This window comes from Homo sapiens, chromosome 4 (assembly GCF_000001405.40).
Source record: "Homo sapiens chromosome 4, GRCh38.p14 Primary Assembly".
Classification (NCBI taxonomy): domain Eukaryota; kingdom Metazoa; phylum Chordata; class Mammalia; order Primates; family Hominidae; genus Homo; species Homo sapiens.
In genome coordinates, this window is record NC_000004.12 from 91074965 (window position 1) to 91086248 (window position 11284).

The 11284-nt window shown below is 37.2% G+C and overlaps 1 protein-coding gene across 14 annotated transcripts in view; it reads left to right on the top strand.

Moving 5' to 3' along the window:
* The window catches only part of CCSER1 (coiled-coil serine rich protein 1), a 1477902-nt gene that overhangs the window by 947571 nt on the left and 519047 nt on the right, over positions 1–11284 (top strand). For 12 of the 14 annotated variants that reach the window (XM_011531936.2, NM_001145065.2, XM_047415679.1 and 9 more), the window contains one exon: positions 10986–11030. In XM_011531936.2, the coding sequence (XP_011530238.1) occupies positions 10986–11030 (45 nt within the window). Of the gene's footprint in view, positions 1–10985; positions 11058–11284 lie in introns of those variants that run through there. The other 2 variants (XM_011531947.2, XM_011531951.2) reach the window with 2 other exon arrangements.

Consider the following 11284-nt stretch of genomic DNA (forward strand, 5'->3'; position numbering starts at 1 on the left):
GATAGTGATTTCTGCCTTTTTGTTTACAGGGAAGCAGGAGAAATCCTTATGACATGATAGAAGTTTTAGAAGGGTTTCTAATCATTATGAAGGGGTAGATCTCTTCCCTCACCTCCCTGTGTACCTTAGACAAAGTGGGTCTGTATGCCAGCGCAGTTACCAGGGGTGTTCATGCAGTTACTAGAATGCAAGACAAATTTGGTAGGAAGTTCTATTTTTTTTTTTTCCAGTTAATAGCCTTTCTCCCTTCCTGCCGTACTAAACCATCTTAATTTAGCACACTGCAGAACATTTGCTTTAGGGTAATTTTTTTCCTACCTAAAATTTATAACATTTTGGTTTTGTCTCATGTGATTAATTTTGATCAATGCAGAGATTTCATATTCTATAGTGAGAAATATGTATACTGAGGGAAATGAATTTTTTCCAACCACATCCCCCAGAGTATTTTTAAATATGCTTTGCTCAAGACATGCTAGGCAAATATTACATTTATATATGGTTGAAGAATAACAAAGTGGATTTTAAATCAATTAAAATTCTGTGAATCTTATATTAATATTAAGAATCAACCCATATGCATACATATATATGAATAATTTGACTGTTCGTGTGTACATCAAGTCTTTTGAAGAGTCAGACAAATTGTCTCAGTGAATAGAACTAAAACATATTCTTCTTTCTGAAGTATTTTAATATGTGTTTTAGTGGAAATGATATAAAAGTATAAAAATGCAAAGGATTTTTTTGTTGTGTGGTATATATAAGTGAACACAAATAAAGGTGTTTGGGTTATTTTAGATTAATACTTATTTTGAAAGTATCCCTTGTGCTAAATGTTATTTCTTAGTTAGTTGGGGTGATATTACAGTATGATTTTTTTTAAAGCAAATCAACCAAATTACTGTCAATAAGAGTCAGTAAAAATCAAGATTGTGCATGTTTCCTAGCATAGGTTGTAAGTCACAGTTGATACTTCCCTAACAGTTTTCCACATTCAAGCCACCTGACCTTCCAACTTGAAGACAGTCTTGCTCTAGTACTCAAGAGTAATTTCTGCTATCAGTTAAGGCTTGGCATCTCCCAGATCATAGAATTAATGAATCTTACTATACCTTACTTCTCCTTTGAAACACAATCTTGTCTAAAGCCCTAGTATCATATGGAAAATCCTCTTAAGCCATTATTTTTTGCCCACACAGCTCTCAAATTCTTGTCATCAGATATACTGCTTCAGGTTTTCAACCTGAATCTTGGTCTGTCAATAATCTAGTGCCTAAATTATACCAAGCTTTTTACATTGTTTATACAGTACCTCTTATCTACTCTGGCAAGCTTGCCTTTCATTCCATATTCCAACCATGCAGTTTTTTTTTTTTCCACTAAATGCTTATTCCCAGCTCCTTTTAATCACTGTGTTGCTTTGAAGAATCATGATGATTCATACATGAGTTTCATGTTACAATAAATTTGTATTGAAAAGTATGTAATACATTAAACATTTTGACTGATGGAAGTTTAAAGCAATTTGACTAAGGATGAAAGGATGAACTTGGTATTGAGGCTCTTAAAATATTGGTTTAAGTTTTATTTTATGCTTACTAGATCTGGAACTTAGTCACATAATTTAAATTTTGTAAACTTTAATTTCCTCCTTTGAAAAAATAAGCTAAAATAATATTTACCTTGACTTCTGTTTCTATTCATGAAGGAGTTACATCTGTAAGTCTTGTCTTCCAGCTTTCATTGCTAGAAAACTGGACTAAATACATAGAAAGGCTATGATCTTCAAGAGAAGAGAAACAAATGAGATCAATCCAACACTGGAATTTCTGACTGGAGGCAATTTTTAGACCATGGTACATGGTACATGGAGGAACAGCCTAAACATAACTTCATGGTATTCAAATTTTGTAGTTGAGAAGATAAGATCTGAGTTTAGAGAGAACAAAGGAGCTAGAATTTGTGGGGCAGATTACCAGAGAGGAGGGAAATACACAAAGAGCTCTAGAAATCCGCATAGGGCCTCCCCAGAATATTTGTTTGAATAGCAATCTACACATACATAATGTGAAATTCCACATGACCAGGCAAAGAACAACTGTGAGAAAAGAATAATTAGAGTGAACTGTCAGTAGAATTCCCAGGGGTCTCACAGGTCTGGTAATCTTTTGATTTCCCATCAGCCAGAATAGGGAACCCCCATTAAATACAGAGGGTATTCAGTAGAGAGCACAGAGGGACCAAGCCTTAGGAACAGGGATAAATTAACACTAAAGACTACTTCAGACTCACCCTAAAAAATGTTTAATGCAAGCCTCAAAGGAATCAGTATCACTCACAGGTAACTTAACTGCCTGCCAGGAACAATTCTACATCTAAATCAATGCACCTAAATGTAACACTAAATAAAATAAAATTTATAATATCTGGCAACCAATAAAAAATTACTGGACATGAGAAAAAATAGTAAAATGTGACTCAGATCAGGAGAAAATTCAGTCAATAGAAACAGACCTGGAAATGACAGATAATGAAGTTAACAGAAAAAGTTGAAAACACTATTGCACAGTGTGAATGACGAAGAAGACGGGTGATTTCTGCATTTCCAACTGAGGTACCAGGTTCATCTCACTGGGGCTTGCCAGACAAATGGGTGCAGCCCACAGAGCAGGGTGGGGCATCACCTCACCTGGGAAGCACAAGAGGTCAGGGAATTACCTTTCCTAGTAAAGGGAAGCCCTGACAGAGGGCACTTGGAAAATTGGGGCACTCCCACCCCAATACTGCACTTTTCCAATGGTCTTAGCAAACAGCACACCAGGAGATTATATCCCACACCTGGTTCAGAGGGCCCCATGGCCATGGAGCCTCACTAATTGCTAGCACAGCAGTCTGACATAGAACTGCAAGGTGGCAGCGAGGCTGGTGGAGGGGCATCTGCCATTGCTGAGGCTTGAGTAGGTAAAGCAGCCAGGGAAGCTCGAACTGGGTGGAGCCCACCACAGCTCAAGGAGGCCCGCCTGCCTCTGTAGACTCCACCTCTAGGGGCAGGGCATAGCCGAACAAAAGGCAGCAGAAACTTCTGCAGACTTAAATGTCCCTGTCTGGCGGCTTTGAAGAGAATAGTGGTTCTTCCAGCACAGAGTTTGGGATCTGAGAACAGACAGACTGCCTCCTCAAGCAGGTTCCTGACCCCTGAGTAGCCTAAATAGGAGACACCTCCCAGTAGGGGCCTACTAACACCTCATAAGGCTGGTTGCCCCTCTGAGACGAAGCTTCCAGAGGAAGGATTAGGCAGCAACATTTGCTGTTCTGCAGCCTCCGCAGGTGATACCCAGGCAAACAGGGTCTGGAGTGGACTTCCAGCAAACTCCAACAGACCTGCAGCTGAAGGTCCTGACTGTTAGAAGGAAAAGTAACAAACAGAAAGGACATCCACACAAAAACCCCATCTGTACGTCACCATCATCAAAGACCAAAGGTAGATAAAACCACAAAGATGTGGAGAAACCAGAGCAGAAAAGCTGAAAATTCTAAAAATCAAAAGCCTCTTCTCCTCCAAAGGAACGCAGCTCCTCGCCAGCAATGGAACAAAGCTGGACAGAGAATGACTTTGATGAGTCGAGAGAAGAAGGCTTCAGAAGACTGGTAATAACAAACTTCTCCGAGCTAAAGGAGGATGTACGAACCCATCGCAAGAAGCTAAAAACCTTGAAAACAGAGTAAACAAATGGCAAACTAGAAAAAACAGTGTAGAGAAGTCCTTAAATGACCTGATGGAGCTGAAAACCATGGCACGAGAACTACGTGATGAATGCACAAGCTTCAATAGCAGATTTAATCAAATGGAAGAAAGGGTATCAGTGATTGAAGATCAAATGAATGAAATGTAGCGACAAGAGAAGTTTAGAGAAAAAGTAAAAAGAAATGAACAAACCCTCCAAGAAATATGGGACTATGTGAAAAGACCAAATCTACATCTGATTGATGTACCTGAAAGTGATGGGGAGAATGGAACCAAGTTGGAAAACACTCTTCAGGATATCATCCAGGAGAACTTCCCCAACATAGCGAGGCAGGCCAACATTCAAATTCAGGAAATACAGAGAACGCCACAAAGATACTCCTCGAGAAGAGCAAATCCAAGACACATAATTTTCAGATTCACCAAAGTTGAAACAAAGGAAAAAAGGTTAAGGGCAGCCAGACAGGTCAGGTTACCCACAAAGGGAAGCCCATCAGACTAACAGCAGATCTCTCAGCAGAAACTCTACACACCAGAAGAGAGTGGGGGTCAATATTCAACATTCTTAAAGAAAAGAATTTTCAACCAAGAATTTCATATTCAGCCAAACTAAGCTTCATAAGGGAAGGAGAAATAAAATCTTTTACAGACAAGCAAATGCTGAGAGATTTTGTCACCATCAGGCCTGCCTTACAAGAGCTCTGGAAGGAAGTACTAAACATAGAAAGGAACATCTGGTACCAGCCACTGCAAAAACATGCCAAATAAGGCCATCAATACTAGGAAGAAGTTGCATCAACTAATGAGCAAAATAACCAGCTAACATCATAATGACAGGATCAAATTCACACATAACAATATGAATCTTAAATGTAAATGGGCTAAATGCTCCAAATAAAAGACACAGACTGGCAAATTGGATACAGTCAGGACCCATCAGTGTGCTGAATTCAGGAGACCCATCTCACATGCAGAGACAAATATAGGCTCAAAATAAAGGGATGCAGGAAGATCAACCAAGCAAATGGAGAACAAAACAAAGCAGGGGTTGCCGTCCTAGTCTCTGATAAAACAGACTTTAAACCAACAAAGATCAAAAGAGACAAAGAAGACCTATGTAATGGTAAAGGGATCAATTCAACAAAAAGAGCTAACTATTCTAAATTTATAGGCACCCAATACAGGAGCACCCAGATTCATGAAGCAAGCCTTGAGAGACCTAAAAAGGGACTTAGACTCCCACACAATAATAATGGCAGACTTTAACAACCCCCTGTCAACATTAGACAGATCAACAAGACAGAAAGTTAATAAGGATATCCAGGAATTGAACTCAGCTCTGCACCAAGCAGACCTCATAGACATCTACAGAACTCTCCACCCCAAAACAACAGAACATACATTCTTCTAAGCACCACATCACACTTACTCCAATATTGACCACATAGTCAGAAATAAAGCATTCCTCAGCAAATGTAGAAGAACAGAAATTGTAACAAACTGTCTCTCAGACAACAGGGCAATCAAACTAGAACTCAGGATTAAGAAACTCACTCAAAACCACTCAACTACATGGAAACTGAACAACCTGCTCCTGAATGACTACTGGGTACATAAAGAAATGAAGGTAGAAATGAACATGCTCTTTGAAACCAATGAGAACAAAGACACAACACACCAGAATCTCTGGGACACATTCAAAGCAGTGTGTAGAGGTAAATTAATAGCACTAAATGCCCATAAGAGAAAGCAGGAGAGATTTAAAATTGACACCCTAACATCACAATTAAAAGAACTAGAAAGCAAGAGCAAACACATTCAAAAGCTAGCAGAAGGCAAGAAATAACTAAGATCAGAGCAGAACTGAAGGAGATAGAGGCACAAAAAACCCTTCAAAAAATCAATGAATCCTGGAGCTGGTTTTCTGAAAAGATCAACAAAATTGATAGACCACTAGCAAGACTAATATGGAAGAAAAAAGAGAAGAATCAAATAGATACAATAAAAAATGATAAAGGGGATATCACCACCGATCCCACAGAAATACAAACTACCATCAGAGAATACTATAAACACCTCTATGCAAATAAACCAGAAAATCTAGAAGAAATGGATAAATTCCTGGACACATACACCCTCCCAAGACTAAAGCAGGAAGAAGTTGAATCCCAATAACAGGTTCTGAAATTGAGGTAATAATTAATAGCCTACCAACCAAAAAAAGTCCAGGACCAGACGGATTCACAGCCAAATTCTACCCAGAGGTACAAAGAGGAGCTGGTTCCATGCCTTCTGAAATTATTCCAATCAATAGAAAAAGAGGGAATCCTCCCTAACTCATTTTATGAGGCCAACATCATCCTGATACCAAAGCCTGGCAGAGACACAACAAAAAAAGGGAGTTTTAGACCAATATCCCTCATGAACATCGATGCAAAAATCCTCAATAACATACTGGAAAACCGAATTAGGCAGCAAATCAAAAAGCTTATCCACCACGATCAAGTTGGCTTCATCCCTGGGATGCAAGGCTGGTTCAACATATGCAAATCGATAAACGTAATCCATCATGTAAACAGAACCAAAGACAAAAACCACATGATTATCTCAATAGATGCAGAAAAGGCCTTCGATGAATAAAATTCAACAGCCCTTCATGCAAAAAACTCTCAATAAATTAGGTATTCATGGGACATATCTCAAAATAATAAGAGCTATTTATGACAAACCCACAGCCAATATCATACTGAATGGGCAAAAACTGGAAGCATTCCCTTTGAAAATTGGCACAAAACAGGGATGCCCTCTCTCACCACTCCTATTCAACATAGTGTTGGAAGTTCTGGCCAGGGCAATCAGGCAAGAGAAAGAAATAAAGGGTATTCAATTAGGAAAAGAGGAAGTCAAATTGTCCCTGTTTGCAGATGACATGATTGTATATTTAGAAAACCCCATCATCTGAGCCCAAAATCTCCTTAAGCTGATAAGCAACTTCAGCAAAGTCTCAGGATACAAAATCAATGTGCAAAAATCACAAGCATTCTTATACACCAATAACAGACAAACAGAGTGCCAAATTATGAGTGAACTCCCATTCACAATTGCTTCCAAGAGAATAAAATACCTAGGAATCCAACTTACAAGGGACGTGAAGAACCTCTTCAAGGAGAACTACAAACCACTGCTCAATGAAACAAAAGAGAATACAAACAAATGGAAGAACATTCCATGCTCATGGGTAGGAAGAATCAATATCGTGAAAATGGCCATACTGCCCAAGGTAATTTATAGATTCAATGCCATCCCCATCAAGCTACCAATGACTTTCTTCACAGAAGTGGAAAAAAACTACTTTAAATTTCATACGGAACCACAAAAGAGCCTTCATTGCCAAGACAATCCTAAGCCAAAAGAACAAAGTTGGAGGCATCATGCTACCTGACTTCAAAGTATACTACAAGGCTACAGTAACCAAAACGGCATGGTACTGGTACCAAAACAGAGATATAGACCAATGGAACAGAAAAGAGCCCTCGGAAATAATACCACACATCTACAACCATCTTTGACAAACCTGACAAAAACAAGAAATGGGGAAAGGATTCCCTATTTAATAAATGCTTCTGGGAAAACTGGCTAACCATATGTAGAAAGCTGAAACTGGATCCCTTCCTTACACCTTATACAAAAATTAATTCAAGATGGATTAAAGACTTAAATGTCAGACCTAAAACCATTAAAACCCTAGAAGAAAACCTAGGCAATACCATTCAGGCCATAGGCATGAGCAAGGACTTTGTGACTAAAACACCAAAAGCAATGGCAACAGAAGCCAAAATTGACAAATGGGATCTAATTAAACTAAAGAGCTTCTGCACAGCAAAAGAAACTACCATCAGAGTGAATAGGCAACCTACAGAATGGGAGAAAATTTTTACAATCTACCCATCTGACAAAGGGCTAATATCCAGAATCTACAAAGAACTTAAACAGATTTACAAGAAAAAATCAAACAACCCCATCAAAAAGTGGGCGAAGGATATGAACAGACACTTCTCAAAAGAAGACATTTATGCAGCCAAAAGACACATGAAAAAATGCTCATCATCACTGGTCATCAGAGAAATGCAAATCAAAACCACAATGAGATACCATCTCACACCAGTTAGAATGACGATCATTAAAAAGTCAGGAAACTACAGATGCTGGAGAGGATGTGGAGAAATAGGGACACTTCTACACTATTAGTGGGACTGTAAACTAGTTCAACCATTGTGGAAGACAGTGTGGCGATTCCTCAAGGATCTAGAACTAGGAATAGCATTTGACCCAGCCATCCCATTACTGGGCATATACTCAAAATATTATAAATCATGCTGCTATAAAGACACATGAACACGTATGTTTATTGTGGCACTATTCACAATAGCAAAGACTTGGAACCAACCCAAATGTCCATCAATGATAGACTGGATTAAGAAAATGTGGCACATATATACCATGGAATACTATGCAGCCATAAAAAATGATGAGTTCATGTCCTTTATAGGGACATGGATGAAGCTGGAAACCATCCTTCTGAGCAAACTATGGCAAGGACAGAAAACCAAACACCTCATGTTCTCACTCATAGGTGGGAATTGAACAATAAGAACACACAGACACAAGGTGGGGAACATCACACACAGGAGCCTGCCGGGGGGTTGGCGGGGGGAAGGATAGCATTAGGAGATATACCTAATGTAAATGATGAGTTAATGGGTGCAGCACACCAACATGGCACATGTATACCTATGTAACAAATCTGCATGTTGTGCATATGTACCCTAGAACTTAACGTAAAATAAAGTAAAATGAAATAAAATAAAAACAAAAAAACTATTACAAATAAAAATGTCAAGGATTTAATGAGAAGTATAAAGAGAAGTATAATATGAGAGAAATAGATAGTAAAATAATATCAAAATTAAACTTCTAGAAATGAAAACTAAGATAGCTGAAATAAAAATTTCACTGAATGGGATTAAAAGCAGATAAGACACTGCAGAAGAAAAGATCAATGAACTTGAAGGTGTAACAGTAGAAAACATACAAAATACCAAGAGAAAAGGAGGTTTTACAAAAGTAAACAGTGTCAGTGATTTTGGTGACATTAACAAGTCATTTAATATATAATTTGAGTTCCAGAATTAGATGGTAGGAAAATTGAGGGTCAGAAAAACTGTTTAAAGATGTAAGGCCAATGTTTTCCCCACAAGCTTTATGAAAACAATACTCCCATGATCTCGACTCACTGTAACCTCTGCTTTCTGGGTTCAAGCTATTCTCCTGCCTCAGCCTCCCGAGTAGCTGGGATTATGGGCACCCACCACCACACCCAGCTAATTTTTTTGTATTTTTAGTGGAGACAGGGTTTCCCTATTTGGCCAGGCTGGTCTTGAGCTCCTGACCTCAAGTGATCCACCTGCCTGTGCCTCCCAAAGTGTAGAGATTACAGGCATGAGCCACCATACCCAGCCTCAAATTGATCTTATATTTAGCTAATTATACATGTGTAATAATGATAAAAATGAGAGGAGGCAGAAGAGAAGACAGTAATTACTATTTTGGGATATGCTGTGCCTGGCCCTTTGCTAAATGCTGTTACATATAATATCTCATTTAATCTTCCTAGCAAATACATTTGGTAGCTACTATATTTATTATCATTTTTCAGTCACAAAAGATGAAATTGAGAGATATTATGTAATTTGTTAAAGGGCATAGAGAAGAAAGTGACAAACCAGAGATTTAAAATTATGTCAGTCTGAATTCAAAGCATCCCATTATACTATCTCCCAGATGCAAAAATCTATAAGCATGAATACTACTTCAGAATTTACTTTTAGCATAAGCTTTACATTTAAGAAATGTTCTAATTTTTTGTTTTATATTCTTTGTCACATATAATTTAGCCTCTTTAAACTGTTCTATAAATTTAGATAATTTTCTATAATCAGAAAACAGGCTACCACCTATATACAAAAATAAATGGTATGCCATGTTGATCCTAGAACATTTTCTAGGGTCAAGAGAGTAGTAAAGCTACTGTTTAAAATAAAATGGTTTAGTTAATATGTATGTTCATGTGTTTTTATCTAAACAATCAAGAAATGATGATGAAGAGATAACATGTTTGAAAAAACCCTGAAAATTTTTTAAACATAAATGCTGTAGCCAAATGAAAAAAAAGTTATCATGTAACTATGAAATACTTAACTACAATATTGCACTCCCAGCATTATTATTGTTGCTACTTAATGGAATAACAACAGTAATAGTATCTTCTTAAATTCAAATTCCTAAATATAAAGCTAGAAACATAATAGGTCTAGTGCATCTTTACTACAGGACACTTTTTTTTTTTTACCTTATACATTGATAGTGCAATGTATGTGATAAATGCATTGGTAATGCAAATATATAATTATTATTATGTGCTATTCAAATTTTCATCAAAAATAGATAAATACTTTGACTTTAATCAAAATTCTTAATGATAGTGTGAACATTTTTAAATTTGTGTTCTCCAAAGCTTTGTTAAATAATTTATCAGATTAGAGCAAAAGTAATTGTAGTTTTTGCCATTACTTTTAATGACAAAATTGACTTGCTAAGAAAAAGAATAACTCTTTCTTCTTTTAATTAAGTATAGTGCTTATTAGGAACTTAAAGTGGATCCTTCTTTTATATTGTGGAGATCAGGTATGCTAATAGAAGACAGAGAAAGCCCTTTGACAGGAAATAAAATCCTGAATATTTTATAGATAATCAGCAGTACTGCAAGGGCTTCTGCTGTCTTTTATCAATCTGACTTTGTTTGGGCGCTGAGATCTGCTGGTAGGTGAACTAGAGTAGGAGGTTACCATCATAGAATATACTGTACATACTAGTTCAAGTTTAAACATCTTTGGTTTCAACAAAGGGTAGGCAATCATTGCTTAAAATAGATGTATTAACATTTTATTTTTACTTATGATGTAGGGGTCGGCAGGAAATGCATTGGGACTACATTTGAAGACTTACTTAGCTACACACACATAGACACATACACACCCATGAGATAGTCATCTATATTCAGATCTTCTTTGTTACGAATAAGTGAATTATTTCCTTTATTTCAAAATTATTGCACTAATATGAATTATTATTTAATTCTTCGTTGCCAATAATAATATACTTTGCTTTTCTTTTTCAGGGTTTAAACTTGAAAAGACTAGAGACAGTACAAGGAGGGAGAGAGGTAAGAATGTTTAAAGAAGAGGGGTGGGAAAAAGAGGAAACATGGCTATGGTGTTGCAGTGATGTGGTGATGGTGATTGACGATAATTACGTTGATAATGGAAATGGAGATGCATTGAAGAGAATGTTGTCTGCATATGGCTCTGTTCATTCTGCCAAAGCATATTTTACATGTTTATGTAAATGTGTTATTTGTGCTTGTTCCTCTGAAGCTAAAGAAAATGTTGTTTCTCTGATTAGGCAAGCATTGTTTCT